This window comes from Homo sapiens, chromosome 3 (assembly GCF_000001405.40).
Source record: "Homo sapiens chromosome 3, GRCh38.p14 Primary Assembly".
NCBI lineage: Eukaryota > Metazoa > Chordata > Mammalia > Primates > Hominidae > Homo > Homo sapiens.
In genome coordinates, this window is record NC_000003.12 from 100,423,980 (window position 1) to 100,443,836 (window position 19,857).

General features: G+C 39.9%; 1 protein-coding gene across 1 annotated transcript in view; it reads left to right on the forward strand.

The window, feature by feature from the left end:
- LNP1 (leukemia NUP98 fusion partner 1) overlaps positions 1-19,857 on the forward strand; it is a 54,781-nt gene that overhangs the window by 22,441 nt on the left and 12,483 nt on the right. The window contains exon 2 of the mRNA NM_001085451.2: positions 5,718-5,906. Coding sequence (NP_001078920.1) covers positions 5,751-5,906 — 156 coding nt within the window. The 5' untranslated portion in view covers positions 5,718-5,750. The remainder of the gene's footprint in view (positions 1-5,717; positions 5,907-19,857) is intronic.

The following is a 19,857-nucleotide window of genomic DNA, read 5'->3' on the forward strand; positions in this document are numbered from 1 at the left end:
AGTGCTGAAAGACTTGACACTTTCTGCTAGTGCTTTTTTGCTGCCCCATGTTTGTTTTAAGAACCTTAGCGTAGTAGAGTAGGGAGCTATCTTTTCCTCATGTTTTTAAAGAAGAAATAGGCTTAACTAGGAGAAAAAATGGAGTTGGAAGTCTCATTTTCTTTAATGTAGTCCAAATCCCTTTTTCTTTCTGGGGTATATTTACATCTTGTTGTTTTGGGAGAATTTTTGATCAAAGATTTGAAGAGTTCCCTTTCCTTCCAGTATTAGGAGATTCCCCAGGACCAACCTGAGGTTCACGACTTGCTAAAAAGGACTTATAAGGCTCAGCATATAGTTGTACTCATGGCTAAGATTTATTATAGTGCAAAGATACAAAGCAAAACAAGTAAAGATAAAAGTTGCATAGGGAAAGTCTGGAGGAAATCTGGGTCAAGCTTCCAAGAGTCCTCTCCCAGTGGAGTTACAAAGTACACACCTAATTCCTCCAGCAATGCTTTGTGGCCATTGTGCAAGGCAAGTGTTTATTATGGAGGCTCAATAGAGACTCAGTACCCCAGATAATGACTGGGTGCTGGTCAGGTAGGCACACTCTGCCTACCACATACACAAACTCCAGATTTGCAGAAGAAAGTCAGTTGTTCAGCATAAACCACATTAGTCGGGCAGTTTAGACCACTCTTATAATTTAAGGAAAATGTTATGTCACTGCAGGAACTGTTTACCAGCCAAGTTCCCAGAAGCCAGCTAAGGGCTAACCTTGCAAGCAGGTCCTTCTAAGGATGGGCAGTTTCAGGCCTGCTATATTAACCATTTTCTGTGTAGCTGATCTCCTTGGTCAAGGCATTTTATAGCAAAATTATTAACAGTAGTGTCCCACGACACAGTATGAAACTAACCTGAGTATTGACTTTACTTAAAATCCAGAGGTCTTGGATTTAGCCAATTAAAACAAATCCCATTAGCTATAAAGGTTAATCTTAGGAAGCCAGGTGGCTTTCTCCTTAAGGTTTTGTATTAACCTTTTTTAACCTAGCCCGAGGCATCAATTCGAGCACAGCACATCTCTGGGTAGTAAATTGAAGCTGACCTGCATGCCTTCTTGGGCTGAGGCAGGCCAAGATAGTCAAGATAGGTACACAGGAAGGACAATCCCAGAGAGCATTCTTAGAAACAAAGAATTCAAGTTCAGTTACCCCAATGAAAACATGCGTTAGTCAGGTAGCACAGGTTAGCAGAGCCCCCAGTGTGTCTTCCCACCGTGGGGAATTCAGCCTATGGTTTCCCTGTCCAGTCTAAATAATTCAGCTAAGTTCTTTGTTTTAGAAGGACTGCCTGAAGGCAGTTTGTTTCTTTCAGTTTTTCTCCTAAGTGTGGACAATATCTGGAGGTGTTCTTGGAAACTAGAGGAGCTGGGGCCAGTTGCTGCTATCTCATAGTCAGTGCTGTTGGGTGTGATCATAGGCTCAGCAGTCAGTTTGAATCAAGCCAGCATCCTGGAAAGGGATCACTGGTGTTCAGGAGCAGTTCTGAAAAACAGATCATTAATGCCCTCTTTCTCCTGCATCTCCCCAGGTGCCGGGTTTTTTTCTTCTTTGCTATTATGCAATAGTGTGATTCATTCAGAAATCATAACTTTACCTTTTCCCCAGCCATTGTTTATTCTTATCTAGACCATTTATAAGGAAGGGTAGAAAGGGTTGGGTGTAAGAGGGACAAAAGGATTTACATAGAAAATCATTGTTTCATGTAACAACCAGAAAAAACACATCATGTTCCAGAATGGGCTAGGACAAAATCCTGAATTTTCAAAATTTTCAGACTGTGTTTACATTACCCTATCCCTTTTGTCCTGATTATTTATTCAGGAAGCAGCCTAGAAAATATCAATTTCTGTCTAGGAACAGCTGCATTTATCAATCAAACTGCCTAACTAAGAAGAGAGGTGAGCAAAGAAGAGTCAGACTATCAATCCATCATTGCAAATTTCAAAATACTCTGGCAAGCTGAACACAAATTAATAGCAGTGAGCTATCCCATAAGGGGTCAAGAGCCCTATCTGTCAGGAGTGGATGGAGGGGTCCCACTCTCTGTGATGTGCTCTCCCCTAGCTTGCAGCTTTTGACAGGGTTCTTGGGATTCATCATTTCTGGTGCAACTAGTTCGGTTTCAAATGGTCCTATCAAAGAGCAAGCCCTTTCCCGTAGGCATCTGCAAGTGATCCATGTGATTCGGATAGCAGAGTTTATGGCCCCACAGAGGAGTGTTGTAAACAAACCTGCAATAGTCCCCGAGGCTGAATTATGTTCCTTGAGCCTACGCCTGTCTTCAGAGATTGGAACAATCCCTCACAGACAGTATCAAGCTTAGCATAAGCTCCAGGCAATTAGGATCTATGAATTCAGGATTCCAAACTAGCTAGCAACTTTTCCTCTATAGCAGCAGCAAAGCCAAGAAGATACAGGGCCAAACGGCTTTGTTCCAAGTCCAATTGACAAGAAATGTTTTCTAAGCCCTGTTTACACGGTCAGATTTAGAGTCCAATTGACCCACTCCAAAATATGCACGTTAGGCTGGAAAATCATTAGCCTCTAAGGGTCAGACAGACACCTGATTATATAAGAACTTATTAGCAAACTAAAAACTGCTTTTTAAAATTCAAAAGGTGTTTTTTCCAGTGGAGATGAGCTATGCTTCTATGTTGTCTACCTTTTCCCATAGGCTCCAACAGGCAAAAATTATAGCAAAAATAATCAGTTATGGAGATTTCAGTACTTAAATACTCAGAGTTTACATTGTAATTCATCTAGTAGCAACAAAAATCAAGAGGTGCATATTCTTCTAATACTTCTTATAGAGTAGCTTTCCCTAACTGGGGTAATCCCTCAAGCATTTATGAAAGTATAAGCATATAATATTTTACATCAGTTTTTATCATATATTCAGGTGCTATAGACACAGAATAGAAGCCATTTTAAAAAATCTCTCTTTTTTTCATTGCAGGTTTACTCAAACTCCTAGTAGTAAAGTGGTAAATTCAGCGTATATGATTCACATTATACCTGGTGAGAGATTCCCAGTTGGAATGCAAGGGGCTGCTGTATGAGGCGATGGGGTATTATTTCCCCCCTCCCCTTTCTTGCTGGTTTATCTAAAGCCTTGTTCTAGCTCTTGGAACTGACTTAACAAAAACGTTAAAAGTTTGCATTGCTTTCTCTTCCTTCCCACTTGGAGGAGAAAGCAATGCAAACTTTTAACATTTTTGGCCCATGCAAAATGTGTTTTGGGAATGTTTGGGCCCTTTCTCTTCTCATCTAGAGGAGAGAACAAAACCCAAAGGCATCAGCCAGGCTGCACTTTTTAATCCCTTCATTTTAGCTACCCGTGGCCAAAAGCAGCCAAGGAATCTAATGAACCAATTGTCCTGGGGTTGGATCTGTCATTTTGAATTCTGTAGGTAACTTTTACCTCTCACAACAGACATCATCTCAGCAGCTGATTCATACTATAGATGGCTAGGTAGCCACTGGGCATTGAAGGTTCACCATCATGTCTTCTTCATCCTTCCTTTTCCCAAACCCTGCTTTAGCCATAGTTCAGTGGTTTGGGTTGTTTTTTTAGCAAATCCCACTTCTGATAGTAGCTGTCATCCCCAGTTTGGGGATTTGCTAGAACTCAGCATATAGTTGTACTCATGGATAAGATTTATTATGTTGAAAGGATACAAGGTAAAACTGAGAAAGAAAATGGAAAAGGCATATGGGGTACAGTCTGGAGGAAATTAGGCACACTCTTCCAAAAAGTCTTGTTCCAGTGAAGTCCCACAGGATGTGCTTAATTCCTCCAGCAATGAGTTGTGATAACACAGGAAGTCTTGGCCATTTGCAAAAAATAAAAATGTTAGAAGATATGTTAAGCTTTGGCTACTTTTCCTTAGTAACATAAAAGTTGTGATGCCATGCTCTGTAAACATTGGTCATAGTTATCAAGCTTATCTTTTTGCAGCTCAAGGAAGGATTTTCGTAGGGCAAATGGCCAAGAATTCCTGATTGAAAATGCGAGACTTCTCCAAGTTCTCTTGAAATACTGGCAGGATGGTGGAAAGAGCCTGGACTTTGTTTTTCTATTCCCCGCTTCAAACTTGATTTTGCCGCTTAGTATTAATTTCACTTTGGCAAGGGGTGATCTATTTGCATCTCAACTTCCTTATCAGTAAAATGTCATACAAATCTCCCAGTCACAGGGTTGTTATAAGAAAATTAGCATATATGGGATCTGGCGTGGTGGCTCACGCGTGTAATCCCAGCACTTTGGGAGGCTGAGACAGGCAGATCACGAGGTCAAGAGTTTGAGACAAGCCTGGCCAACATGGTGAAACCCCATCTCTACTTAAAATACAAAAATTAGCTGGGCTTGGTGGTGGGTGCCCGTAATCCCAGCTACTTGGGAGCCTGAGGCAGGAGAATCATTTGAACCTGGGAAGTGGGGGTTGCAGTGAGCTGAGATCATGCCATTGTACTCCAGCCTGGGCAACAGGACGAGACTCCATCTCAAAAAAAAAAAAAGAAAAAAAGAAAATTAGCGTATATGGAATACTTGGCTCCATACTTGATGCAAAGTAGGAGTTCCATAAATGTAATATTCTCTTTACTTTGAAAAAAATGCCCACTAAAAGACAGGGACTATAAAATTTATATAAACTTTATAAAAGCCCCAACTAGAAGTAACCTAAATGACAGCCTAAAATGACCATCACTAGTAGACTGAATTTTTAAAAAATTGTGACATGTTGATGCAATGCAATACTACACACAGCGTCAACTATTGTTACTGCAAAAACATGGATATATCTCACTGACATCATGTTGAATAACACAGGATAATGCATACTGTATAATGCCATTGAAAGTAAGTTCAAAAACAAGCAAATTAATCTATGGTGACACAGATCATTAATGGTAAACTTTTGAAGGGAGTATGGATTGGAAGGGGGATACATGGAGCCAGTTGGGGTGCTGGCAATGTTTTATGTCTTTACCTGCATGGTGGTGGTAACACAGGGGTATATGTATATAAAAATTCATCAAGCTGTGCACTTATGATTTGTACATTTTACACGTACTTGTATATTATTTACATGTGTACATATATAAGTAATACCTCAATTTAAAAAACTACTCCTTTTGATCTAGGAGCTGGATTTTATATCAATATCATTTTATTAGGAGAGTATCTAGCTCCAGATATGACATGGCAACAGCTGGCTACCTTGCAAGCTGTGGTCAGTCTGTTCCTTGTATGTGGCCCCATTTCAGAGCTTGCCTGGAGCTGACAGGCATATTGTGAGGGTCATGCTCCATCATCATTGACAGCTGGAGATGCCATCACATGTCATTGGCAGCAAAGCACAGGGAAAACCAGGCAGTGGACTCTGCATCCCACCCTTAGGCTGTGAGGCACAAGCCCCAGCAATGGAAGGATTAGAAAGCCTCTCAATTTAAAAAGACAAGGGGAGGGGAATGTGGGCTGCACAATTTATAAATAGACATTGCCCAAGGCTGCCTGATGATGAAGTGGTTGTTTAGTAAATCTTTCTCCTTTAAGGATGCCAGTATCGGAGACCATTTTAAAAAGACCAGTTTCATTTTGTCTTTTGGGAGAGATCCTGGGTTTCATTGTCAGCCCTGTTGGGTGATATTTCCCTCTGTCGCATTTAGGGACAGGCCTTCAGTATTTGGCATCACCTTTACATGGAGCACAAAGATGATGATGATGATGATGTGTCTTTTGCCAAATGGATGAGCAGCTTCTGGGGCCACAGCTGGAGAGAGGAGGATCAGAGAGGACTCCGGGAACGCCACCGACTGCAAGCCACCAGTCACAGGAAAACCTCCCTGCCCTGCCCAGTGAGTGATTGTCATGGAACCGGAGGGGAGAGCTGGAATAGGGGAGGGGGTTTCTCTTAGATAATTTTTTGAGGAATCTTTGGATATAAAGTTTTCTTTGGTTTAAAACCAGTACTTCTGAGTCTTTCTCATACCCACAGAAATCTCTCTTATTATTTCATCTTGTCTTTCAAGGGACCTTATTGTCATCTAATGGGTAATGATTTCTTCATTTTTAGTTGTCTGAGATATCTTTAACTACTCTTCAGAGCTCCTGATAAGCCTGAGATAATCCCACTGAGTGACGGAATTTAAGCCAAAGGAAAGAAACTTGATGCTATACTTAGTCTGTGTAGCCTTGTGGCTCAATGTGTGATTTCCGTTTGAAATACTGAAAATTGTTCCACTCTTTGGTAGACCTTCTAAGGAACTGGGGATCCCACATGACAAGTCACTACCTTTGAGAAATTTGACATACTTGTTTTTCTTCCAGGGAGTCCATTTGGTTTCTAGATGGGAGAGGGAGCTAAAACTCTCCTGCCCTCAGCACTGTTTTGTTACAGCTAGGCAGAGCACCTGATATCTGAGGAACAAGATGCTAGCAGGAAAGCTCCCAAGAGGGGAATGGGTGGGCTTGGTCAGCTGTAGACTCAGTGACATGTACAGGCGGCTATTCTCTCTGCTCTACTGGCATGCTAGAAGGCTCCACAGTAGACATGTGTGTCCTGTGCTTCACAGTTACACAGCAATAATACAGCTTTTCTTTTTTATAAGTCCCATTAAATGTCAGCTACCAGAGGATAGTTTCTCAATCCCCTGCTGTTGCCAACCCCGGAACCAAGTAAGTTTTGTTTGGGGTAATATTATTTTATTTTTAACTTCAGGCTTCCCAGACACATAATGTCTATAAGACATATGAAAGTGTGTAAGGCAACCTCTATTACTCCTGGTGATCAGCAAGTTTGAGGAAAGAGAATTCTTTGAGACACAAATATTTCAAAATATATCCCTTGCCAAATGCATACTCAGGGACAAAGGGCAATCGTCAACCCTTCTTTCAGCTTCAGGTTGCTAAAGTGAAAAAGATGGGGGTGTTGGACTGAGTGATCTCTAAGAACCCTTCTACCTCTAACCTTCCATGTTCTGTTATAAAATAAACACCTGCTTATTGCCTCTCATTTTAATATATATTCCACAATGAGCAAAATATCCAGGCTGTGTGAACCAGGAGTATGATTAGTTTCCAGTTTCCAGATGTGAGAACAGGGATAAACAAAAACAAAAACTGTAATTTACTATTTATGACAATGGCCTCTTGAAGCCACAGGAAATATGAAAACATAGAAAGAAACATGGTTTACTAGTTCCTTGAATAAACTTTAGCATCTATGGAGCTTTTAAAACAGAGATAGTTACCCCATTTACAGAATTCACTTTTAGGTTACAATGGTGTTTGCCTTAATCTATGGAATCACAGCATCTATTATGTATAACATTTGTAAACTGTGTCCTTATGACATCTTTATCTGCTTATCCCTGCTTCGGGCATTTGCCTGAATTAACCTGTTTAGATTCTCTGAGTCAGCAATGAATTCCGTAATTATTAGACTAACATGCAGAATAAAAATTGCTGGATTAAAAAAGTTAAAAATATGACTGAATAGAATGGAGAAACAATAAGCATAGATCACAAATCAGAGGAACCAGAGGTCAATGGGCAGAGTACTGGAAAGTAGTTGGGGAGTCTAATTCTTCATTCTTTGTCTACATAATGCTGTATATGTATAAGTGAATCTATACTTGAATACTTTCTATCTCTAAAATGTAATCAAATATTCTTACTTTTGGCGTGGTGCCATGGTTCACACCTGGAATCCCAGCACTGTGGGGGCCCAAGGCGGGAGGATCACTTGAACTAAGGAGTTTGAGACCAGCCTGGGCAACATAGTGAGACTCCGTCTCTCAAAAAAAAAAAAAAAAAAAATAGCAGGGTGTGGTGGTGCTTCCATAGTCCCAGCTACTTGGAAGGCTGAGGTGGGAAGATCACTTGAGCCCAAGAGGTCGAGGCTGCAGTGAACGGTGAACATGCCACTGCTTTCCAACCTGGGTAACAGAATGAGACCTTGTTTATATATATATATATATATATATATATATATATATATATATATATATATATATATATATATTCTTATTTTAAGGAACAATTTGGTTTTCAATTTTTTGTCTGCTTTGAGCTAATGGAAATACCTTAAAGAGAAAAGCTTACTCTTATCCTTACTTTTTTTCTTCTCTCCTGACTGCTCTAAGGCCCTTCCCTCTCTCAACCTTTTAATAATCTATAACCATCAATATTACATTAAGTATTATATGCATAGGAGGAGAAGAGCTTTCCCCCTTGCCTACTTTGAATGTGGTTTCTTTTTTTCCCCACTTCTCCTTGAATGTAGTTTCTAATACATCTTCATCAGTCTCATGATTCACACAAAACCACAGTGATCAACATTAATTAATTTAACATATTTATTGAACACCTACTGTGAGCCAAACATTGTCCGAGTATCACAGGGTGAAAGAAGACATGCCCAGTCCCCACACTTGTGGGACTGTCAGTCTAGTAGAAAATACAAATTTGGCAGAAAGAATTAGGTACAACAAAGGGTAAAGCTTAGGCCTTTTTATAGAATGCTACTTTTTCCCCAGACTCATTAGAACCTATGTTTGCTGAATTAAAGTGAATAAAGAAATCCCATGTTATTGTTCTGCTGTCCTTAGTGAAAAAACATAATATGAAGTCTCTCATTATTAAACTGACTTGCCTTCTCTCTCCAACATCATATGAATACAAAACTGAAATAAAACAGTTTCCCTGTCATTTATTTATTCTATGGAAGTGCATTTTTAATACTTTTAGTCTGTTTAGCTTTCTAGTCATCATCTCCTTCAGCTTAACATGGTTCTGTTAACATTGTTCTATGTAGTCTGGGGCTCGTGGAAGGGAAGACTGTGCTAAATGAAAGATCTTTGGGAGAAGAAACCGAGTTTATTGGCCCAGGGCTTTTGTAACTCCAGACGGACCTCCACAGTGCTTCTTCTATGCTCCACGGAAGTCACCATATGTACTTGCCCACATGATATACTTTGAAGGATACAGAATAAGTCTCTACCGATGTACACCCAAGATTTTTTCTTTTTTCTTTAAAGTTAAAGTTCTGGAATACATGTGCAGAACGTGCAGGTTTGTTACATGGGTGTACATGTGCCATGGTGGTTTGCTGCACCTACCAACCCGTCATCTAGGTTTTAAGCCCTGCATGCATTAGGTATTTGTCCTAATGCTCTCCCTCTCCTTGCCCTCTACCCTCTGATAGGCCCCAGTGTGTGCGTTGTTCCCCTCCCTATGTCCATGTGTTCTCATTGTTCAACTCCCACTTGTGGGTGAGAACATGTGGTGTTTGGTTTTCTGTTCCTGTGTTAGTTTGCTGAGGGTGATGGCTTCCAGCTTCATCTATGTCCCTGCAAAGGACATGATCTCATTCTTTTTTATGGCTGCATGGTATTCCATGGTGTATATGCACCACATTTTCTTTATCCACTCTATCAGTGATGGGCATTTGGGTTGGTCCTATGTCTTTGCTATAAATAGTGCTGCAATAAACATACATGTGCATGTGTCTTTATAGTAGAATGATTTATATTCCTTTGGGTGTATACCCAGTAATGGGATTGCTGGGTCAAATGGTATTTCTCATTCTAGATCCTTGAGGAATCACCACACTGTCTTCCACAATGGTTGAACTAATTTACTTTCCCCCCAACAGTGTAAAAGTGTTCCTATTTCTCCACAGCCTTGCCAGCATCTATTGTTTCTTGGCTTTTTAATAATTGCCATTCTGACTGGTGTGAGATGGTATCTCATTGTGGTTTTGATTTGCATTTCTGTAATGATCAGTGATGTTGAGCTTTTTTCATATGTTTTTTTGGCCGCATAAATGTCTTCTTTTGAGAAGTGTCTGTTCATATCTTTGCCCACTTTTTGATGGGTTTGTTTGTTTGTTTCTTGTAAATTTGTTTAAGTTCATTGTAGATTCTGGATATTAGACTTTTGTTAGATGAGTAGATTGCAAACATTTTCCCCCATTCCATAGGTTGTCTGTTCACTCTGATGATAGTTTCTTTTGCTGTGCAGAAGCTCTTTAGCTTAATTAGATCCTATTTGTCAATTTTGGCTTCTGTTGCAATTGCTTTTGGTGTTTTCATCATGAAGTATTTGCCCACGCCTATGTCCTGAATGCTACTGCCTAGGTTTTCTTCTAGGGCTGTTATGGTTTTGGGATTTACATTTAAGTCTTTAATCCATCCTGAGTTAATTTTTGTAAAAGGTGTAAGGAAGGGGTCCAGTTTCAGTTTTCTGCATATGGCTGGCCAATTTTCCCAGCACCATTTATTAAATAGAGAATCCTTTCCCCATTGCTTGTTTCTGTCAGATTTGCCAAAGATCAGGTGGTTATATAAGTGTGGTCTTATTTCTGAGTTCTTTATTCTGTTCCACTGGTCTATGTCTCTGTTTTGGTACCTGTTACCTGTTACCATGCTGTTTTGGTTACTGTAGCCTTGTAGTATAGTTTGAAGTCAGGTAGTGTGATGCCTCCTTTTTTTTTTCTTCTTTTTTCTTTTTTTTTGAGTTGAAGTCTCATTCTATTGCCCAGGCTGGAGTGCAGTGGTGAGATCTCGGCTCACTACAACCTCTGCCTCCAGGGTTCGAGGAATGCTCCTGCCTCAGCCTCCTGAGTAGTCAAGACTACAGGCGTGCACCACCATGCCTGGCTAATTTTTGTATTTTTAGTAGAGATGGAATTTCACCATGTTAGCCTGGCTGGTCTTGAACTCCTGACCTCAGGTGATCTGCCCACCTCGGCCTCCCAAAGTGCTGTGATTACAGGTGTGAGCCACTGCACCCGGCTGTCTTTTTTTTTTTTTTTTTAATTAAATTACCTTTCTCCATTGTATATTCTCCCTCCATGCTCTCAATTTACAGTGATGAAAGATATTTGTAATTTTAGTTTTTTATTGTTGATCTACTTTCAGATGGCTGCACTCTCATTCTTATAGTATCTCACTACAGGGCAGGTGGGGCATGGCCCTCTTAGGGGAGTTCTCACAAACCTGGGAGAGAACACATACTATCAAGTGTCATGATTGGCAGTGGCTTCTTGTATTTCAGATGTATTTCAGATGATATTTGAATTTAATTTTCATAGGAGGCAATTCCTTAATCCAAGGAAATGAAACTAATGATAGAAATTCAGGTACCAGTGAGAACTCTATAGGGAGCTTTTAGCATAATGTTCTGTGGACTTTTCTCTCTTCTTCTAGGTGCTAAGGTGGAGGAATTGCTAGAAAGGCAGTGGAGAGGAGTGGTCAGGAGCAAGTGCTCTGGAGCTGGCCTCCCGTGTTCTTCATTTACTAGCAGCATAACTCTGAGCAAGCTGCTTGAGCTCTCTTTGCCTCCAATTCCCCACATGTAAATGGGATTGGTGATCATAGTACAGACCTCATAAAGGTGCTGTGAATATTCAATAAGTAATGTATATACAGTGCTTTGAACAGTGCCTGGTACCTATTAACTTATTTATTAAAAAAATAATTTTTTTTACACTAAATGCATGCAGTGTATACATTTAGAAAAGAAGAGGGGACTTTATTTCTTGTAAAGCTTATAGCCTGCAAGTTGGCCATCCCACAGCCTGGGAAGCATAGCCTCCAGAAAGACTGGAGACAGGCACTTCAAAGGAGGAGGGGTAGGGGGTAGGAGCTTTATGCTGAACAGATTGGCTAAACTTCCACATGCAACAGTTTATAGGAGGAGCTGTGAATATTCGTGAAGGTGGTTCTGACACAGTTCTGTGGACACAGGAATTTTGAACAAACATACATGTAGCATGTATGGCCCATGTTCACTTTGGGATGGAGACTTAATATTTAAACATATTACAATTAGGCCCTATTCATGAAAAGATCTTCTTAGGACAGGAAGGTGAGTGAGTGTGCAGCCCCCATAAACTGGCTAGAACCAGTCCATGGTTGGTAGTCTTGTCAGGAGAAAGTTATTGAAATCAATCTCTTGTCCAATCAAAACTGTAGTAATGGCTGATGGAACAAGGGAATCAGCTAGTCAGCATCTGATGGAGCTGCAAATTGTTTTAATACTGCTTATGTCAGGGCCGGTGCTTGTTTAGCTGTTAGAGGAAAAGAAAAACCTTGTGGCGGTCAGAATATAGTTTATTCTTTAAGTGTAGGGGTGCACAACTTAACCCTTGCCTGGCATGGCCTTAGGTCCTGTTTATAATTAGGTATCTTATTGCCACAAAGGCTTTGTTCTGTCAGTGTTAGGATCTCTATTTTAACATTAATGCTGGTCAATTGTTGTGTCTAAACCATAAAAGACAGGGAGTACAACGAGGTGCATCTGACCTCCCATCCCGTCATGGCTCAGAACTAAGTTTTTAAGGTTTTTATGGAATCCCCTTGGTGAAGAGGGGGTCTGTTCAGTTGATGAGGGGCTTAGGATTTTATTTTTCGTTTACATACCTAATAAGATGCTTTCCCTCTCTCTTTTCCTTTTCCCCTCCCTCATCTCCTCCCTCTGCATCTCCTCCTCCTCCTCTGTCAGAGGTGTTGACACTTAGAAATTTTTTTCCAGATGCCTTCAGCTAATTACTGCACAAAATTCTAGAGTTTTTCATTTTCTCTTTACTTCATTGTCTTTTATGTTTCTCTTTTATATTACAATGGGAAGATAATTGGTAATTTTATATTGAACATTGGCAGGTAACATATGTTCTGTTATGGACTGAATGTTTGTGCTTCCCCTTCCCCCATTCATATGCTGAAGCCCTAATCTCCAATGTGATGGTATTTGGAAATGGAGCCTTTGGGAGATAATTAGGGTTAGATGAGTTCATGAGGGTGGGGTCCTGGCCTAATGGGATTAATATCCTTAGAAGAAGAGACATCAGAGAGCTTTTTCTTTCTCTCTCTATCCCCACATATGCATTTAAAAAAGCAGTCATGTGAGGTTGCAGTGAGAAGGCAGCCATCTGCAAGCCAGGAAGAGAGCCCTCACCAGGAACTGAATTAGCCAGAACCTAGATCTGGGACTTCCTAGCCTCCAGAACTGTGAGAAACAAATTTCTGTTGCTTAAGCTACTCAGCCTATGGTATTTTGTTATAGCAGCCCAAGCTGACTAATACATTTTCATAACAAGCATCATCACCAGACAGTGGAGAGCTAGTAGGGAAAACATTATTATACATGACCTAATTTAATGTCATTTGGGGTTATGATCTCAGTGGCATATGGTTTATATGGGCTTAGTTTGGCTACTGCAGCTTCGGGATGAGTAAGACAAGTCCTTGAATTTTGCTTTAGGAAAAGATTCCAAGTTCCTGAGGTGTGAAGCGTTATAAGCTCACAGGAGTTTCTTCTTATAGCTCTCCTCTGTTTGGCCACTATATAACTTACGATATGGTGTTGGTGACAGTTTTGCATTGATTTAGTGTGTAATAGTGTGACCAAGCAGGGTCTGTTCATTTCCCCAATTAAAAAAAGTTATTTTACTGATTAGTTTAAAACATTGTTTGGCTTCCCAAAAGGATGTACAGTGCATGGTTACTAAGCTTATCTTTATTATTTCTCAAAGAACTATCATTTTACCAGTTGAATATTTGAATGTTTTCCCTGATAGTGTTTCCAAGTATAGCTAGTCCACTCATTTGTAGTCCTCTTGGCTCTGATGATAGCATTAGACTATGTTATAAAATACTCTTCATATAAAATTCTTTCAGATGAATTCCTAAAGACCTATAGATTATTATTACTAACTTTATAATAGAATTCTGTTTAAATTGGTACATGGCTAAAAGTCACATTTACAGGCAGTTTCACATGGAAATAGAATAAAGTTGTTGCTGTTGTTAAAGATAAAGGATTTAATACTGCTAATCCAGGAACCAGATGTCACATGCTTAGGCATGTCACTTTATCTCTCTAATAAAGTCACTAGTCACATAAGTCTTAGGCAAGACTTAGCCTCACTAAGATTCATTTTCCTCATATGTAAAAGGGGAAGAATCACTCCCTTGTTGACTTTATTCTGAAGTTAGCTATCAAGGACCTGGCCCCAGAGTGCCAGGTACATACTGTGCACTAGGACTCAATATGGGTCTTACTATGCCAGCACCTGGATCTTTCTCATTATGTCTCATCTTGCTGTTAACCATTGACTACAGGGTGGGAGGGATACAATTGAAGGGTGATTGCAATTACAGCCAGAATAAAGAACATCGAGTAGTTAAGCTCTTGAGGTGAATATATTACATAACCAATTTCCCCCTCCCCAACTTTCCTTTTAGGTTTATTGTCACTTAAAGAAAAACAACTTTCTTTTTTTGGATCTGTTTTATGTTCAAAGCAATATTGAGCAGAAGGTACAGAGATTTTCCATAGCCCCCATACTCCCAGATATGCATACCTCTCCCATGATTAACCTTCCTGACTAGAGCGGTATATTTGTTTCAATTGATGAACCCATGCTGACACATCATTATCACCCAGAGTCCATAGTTTACACATTAGGATTCACTCTTCCTGTTGTACATTTTATGGGTTTGTACAAATGTATAATGGCACGCACCTACCATTATAGTGGCATACAGAATAGTTTCACTGTCCTAAAAACCAATTGCTTTTTAAATGAGAACCAATGACTTGGGGACAGAGAGTGCATGGGATTTTCTTTGACAGAGATTGTTGTTCTAGGTCCACAGGGGAAAGAGTCATGCTGTTTGGAGCACTCTAATCAGGAGAGTCAGTGTACAGGGCAGTCATTTCCCTCACAGTCAGTGCCTGCTGCAATGCTGTAGCCCAGGAGCCCAGGGTGAGCTCAGAGTGTGAGAAGATAGCAACCCAGGTGCTACAGCGTGATTCACAAAACAGGGGATAGATAGGTGAGGCTATTTTAAGCCATTTGGGACATTGTTTTAGGTCTTATTGGGGAAAATTACCTTAGAAGGGCATATAAAATTCCAAAAATAGAGCTCGCATAGCAAGTAAACATTTTTTAAGAGGAGGAGCTTCTCCCTGTCCCAATTACAGTTCTCTTTTAGGCCCATTTTCCACAAAGTCATATGCCAAAGCGAAGAGACAAACTGCAAAACCTAACTGCTGTAAGGAGTTTTAAGTACACACTTTACGTTGTGATCAAACTCTTGCCATTCTTTTTAGGCTCCTTAATGGAAAAGGACATTTGTACAAACATCCATTTCACTCCCAGTCACAAAACTTTAATTTATTATTATTTTTTTCCTGACAATATAACACATGTTCCCCAGATATAACTACGAAAAATACTAAAAAAAAAAAGGAAAAGGAAGAAAACAATAGCACACCACAGAGAAAAACTTTGGTAAGAGTCTGATATGTTTTAACATTACCAATCTTGGGATATTGCCCTACTTGAAATCCCTCAATGTCTCATTCCAGCTCTCTTGGTTCCTCTTGGTCCACTGTGCTCCCCAGCACCACTATGCCAGCAAGCTTCTTCCATGGCAGTGGATCTGCCCATGTGGTGCTCATCTCCAGGCAGAAAGCAGTCCTTGTCCTCTAACCCTTGCTCATCCTTCAGCTTGTCGTTCAGTCAGCACACATTCACAGAATTCTCTCTGGATACTTCTCCTCTACCCCCCTAACACCCACCCCAATATATATAGTTTTACCCCGTTCTACCTTCTCATTGCACCTTGAACTTCCCCTTTATAGCATTTAGCCAAGGACGTAGGCACATGCCCTAGTTGTTTAACATCTATCTCCTATGCAGATGCCATCTCTAATAGCCTGTTTTGCTCCCCATCCTATCCACAGCACCTACTACCATGACTGACCTATTTAGTAAATGGACTAATATATAGAGATTTACCTTAGGTGTCTCAGCAGCTTTACATATCTTTAACCATATTTCTGATTATTATTTGAGAGTAAGTTTCTAGGTATGCATATCTAGAAAGATATGCATATGTTTGCCAGTGCTGCCATAACAAAATACCACACACTGGGTGGCTTAAACAGGAGAAATTTATTTTCTTACAGTTCTGGAGGCTAGGAAGTCCAAGATTAAAGCTTCTTCTGAGGCCTTGCTTGTTTGATTGCAGATGGCTGCCTTCTCACTGTGATTTTCCATGGTCTTTCTTCTGACAGTGAGCAACTCTGTTGTCTCTCTACCTGTTCAAATTTCCTCTTCTTGTAAAACACCGGTCAGATTGGATTAGGGCTCACCCTAATGGCCTCATTTAACGTAATCACCTCTTTAAAGCCCTATAGCTAAGTGCAGTAACATTCAGAGCTGTTGGGGGTTAGGGTTTCAACCTATGATTTTTGGAGAGATATAGTTCAGCCCATAACAACATACAATGGCTGGATCTAAGGAGGGGAATAGTTTAAGCTTATTATTTTTTCTTTTTTACATCTTCTTGGATACCAATATTTTAAGCTTCTTAACACATATTTCTCAAGGCTTTCTAAGAAGGCTGCACACATTTTTAATCCCATCAGTAAGGGATGATAGTTCCTGTCTCCCTGTACTCCTGCCAGTGTTGGTATTATTAAAACACATTTTTTTTGCTACCCTGAAAGGTAAAAATATTGTTATTTTATTTTACATAATCTTTGACTGCTAATTAAATATTAACATTCGTAACCATTTGGTATTTCCCTTTCTTCTATTCTTTATACTGTACATTCAATATATATTTAATGAACCCATGCTGTGAACAAGGCAAGGTGCTGGGTACTAGCAGAGAGTAAAACATAGCCCTGATGTGATGCAGCACACAATCTAGTGGAGAAGAGAGGCACTGAACAAAATTACCCGAATTATTAATGACAGTTGTGATAAGTATCCCAGAGGAGAAGCATTGGAAACCAGGAGAGCATCTGGCAGGAACCTGAACCAATCAGAAAGGTAGAAAAGGCTTTCTGAGGAAATGCAGTTTTTCCTGTGACTGAAGGATGATTAGCCATTAGAAAGATGAGGGAGTAGGGTTGTGGATGAGGTCACTGGCAGGGAGGAGCCTGTGCCAGTGCCTGCGCTACACAGGAGCAGGTGAGCTCGAGAAAGAGATCAAAGACCAGTGAGAAAGGAAAGATAGAAAAGGAAGACTAGTCTAGAACCTTGGGGAGCCCCAACAGCTATGAGCTGATAGAAGGAAGAAGTGAGCAAATGTCTAAATTACAGTGGCAGCAAGATCAAAGGGAAAGCAGGAAGGTGCGGTGGTAGCAAGCAAGGAAACAGTGTTTTCAAAAGGCTCCTGTGGATAACAGAGTTGAATGCCACTGAATGACTTAGATGAAGACCAAAAAGTGCACAGAATTTGGCAACATGAAGACCAATATCCTGATCAAAATTAGCTGTGGGCGAGGAAGCTGGACTGGAGTGAGTTGAGTGAGTCAGAGAAATTGAGAGAGCAAATGTCATAATTATTTCAAAAAGTTTGGCTTGTCTAAACTGTCTGTCCTTTGCCCATTTTCCAGTTGTGATGTTAATGATTGATGTCATTATATTATATGATCTCTTTTTATTTGTGTGAGATGTACTGATGTATCTTTAGGATATTTATTAAACATTAGCAATATGCAGCAAATTTTTTAAAGTTCATTTTTTACCTATAGTTTAAATTTGTTTATGTTGCTTTTGATACGCATTAGCTTTAAATATATATATATATATATATGTAAATTTTATTTTATTTTTACTTTTTTGGAGATGGAGTCTCACTCTGTTGCCCAGGCTGGAGCGCAGTGGTGCAATCTCAGCTCACTGCAACCTCCACCTCGTGAGTTCAGGTGATTCTTGTGCCTCAGCCTCCCGAGTAGCTGGGATTACAGGTGCCTGCCACCATACCCAGCTAATTTTTTTGTATTTTTAGTAGAGACAGGGTTTCACTATGCTGGCCAGGCTGGTCTCAAACTCCTGATGTCAGGTGATCCACTCGCCTCGGCCTCTCAAAGTGCTGGGATTACAGGCATGAGCCACTGTGCCTGGCCCTAGCTTTATATTTTTATATAGTAAAGTTGATTTTTTCCTTATGACTTCTTCCATTGCTCTTTTGCTTAGAAATTCTTTCTCCATATAGGAATTACATGAATATTTACCCTTATATTTCCTAAACATTTATGGCTCCATTAAAAAATTTTAAAAATCATTTTGGAGTTTATTTTTACATATCAACTTAAGGCTTGGCGTCTTTTGTTTTAGTGTTCTAATGATGGAGTAGTAAGCAACAAAGCTAGTCTCAGGATGTTCTACTTAATGTTTTAACCAATTGATTCTGCTGCCTCACTGTAGGAGAAAAGTCTTACTGATCAAGAAGATGTGAACCCTGAAAATCTGAGACAGGTCTCAGTTAATTTAGGAAGTTTATTTTGCCAAGGTTGAGGATGCGCACCTGTGACACAGCCTCAGGAGGTCCCAACAACAAGTGCCTAAGGTGGTCAGAGGACAGTTTGGTTTTATACATTCTAGGGAGACATGAGACATCAATCAACATTGCAATATGAATATCGGTTTGATCTGGAAAGGCAGGACAACTCAAACCAAGGCAGGAAGACTCAAAGTGGGGAGGGGGCTTCCAGGTTATGGGTAGATAAGAGACAAATGGTTGCATTCTTTTGAGTTTCTGATTAGCCTTTCCAAAGGAGGCAATCAGATATGCATTTATCTCAGTGAGCAGAGGGGTGACTTTGAAAGAATGGGAGGCAGGTTGGCCCTAAGCTGTTCCCAGCCTGACTTTTCCCTTTAGCTTAGTGATTTGGGGGCCCCAAGATTATTTTTCTTTCACATTTCCCTCCTTTTTTTAAAAATAAAATCTTTTGGAATAAGTATTTTAGAAGAAAATGAGTCTCTGGTCTCAGGTTTCATCTGATCTCTCACAGATAGGATGGTTTATTCCTAGACAGGTAGGTCCTGAGTTGTTATGCAGGCTCATTTTTAGCAAGTTGTGAAGTCTCATGTCCTATGAAGAGAAAATAGGAGGAGGAAGGAAGAAAAACAACAACAAACAAAAGAACAATTCTGGAAAATCAATATTGGTCACATTACTCTGAAGTCCATACATCAGTAGGCAGGTATTAGTGGCTTATGTATGTAAATAGGTTGCTGTTATTTTCTTCTGAAGTTTAAGTTGTCTAGCTTCAGTTTGCAGGGCTTTATGAAAGCACAGCCTGGATTTTGATGACTCCAAATGAGAAAAACATGGGGAAAAAAAGAAGGAAAAAATGGAAAACAATGCTTTGAAGACTTGGAGCCAAGAAAATACAGAATTCGGTCCAAAATGTAGAAAATAATAAAAATTGAAAAACATTAGGCAAGACTAGAATCTAACAACAGGTGTGCTATAGTTTTTGAAACAATTTTTCTCTCTCCAGTTTCCCATTTTTACCAAAGACAAATCATGGTAGGACTGCTGTGCTTTATTATACTTGGCCTAATCATTTGTATACAGTTCAACAAGAATAATTATTTTTTACATAGGCTTTTAAATTGGCTTTGATGGAACTTTGTTCCATAGAAGGAATCTCAGATAAGACTTTTTTAAAAGCTGAGCTGAGTTGGGCGATCCTCTCCTCTTGAGGTTCTAAGATAAAACCTGAGGCTCTTAGGCCTATAAGAACGTTACATTCTTTACTTACCACAGGTCAGGAACCCCATACAGGAATTGCGTAGACAAGTTTGCGGCCAGTTTTCCCCAGGGATTTTAGTGGCTTTGTAAGTCAACTTTGATTCCTTAAAGGAAAGCACACCATTCCAGTCAAAGCCTTGGTAAAATAAGAAGTTTCTCCAATTGTGTCCTGTTGTAAATGAAAACAGATTCTTATTGCACTTAAGCAAATAACTGTATTGCCATAAGTTAAGAATAC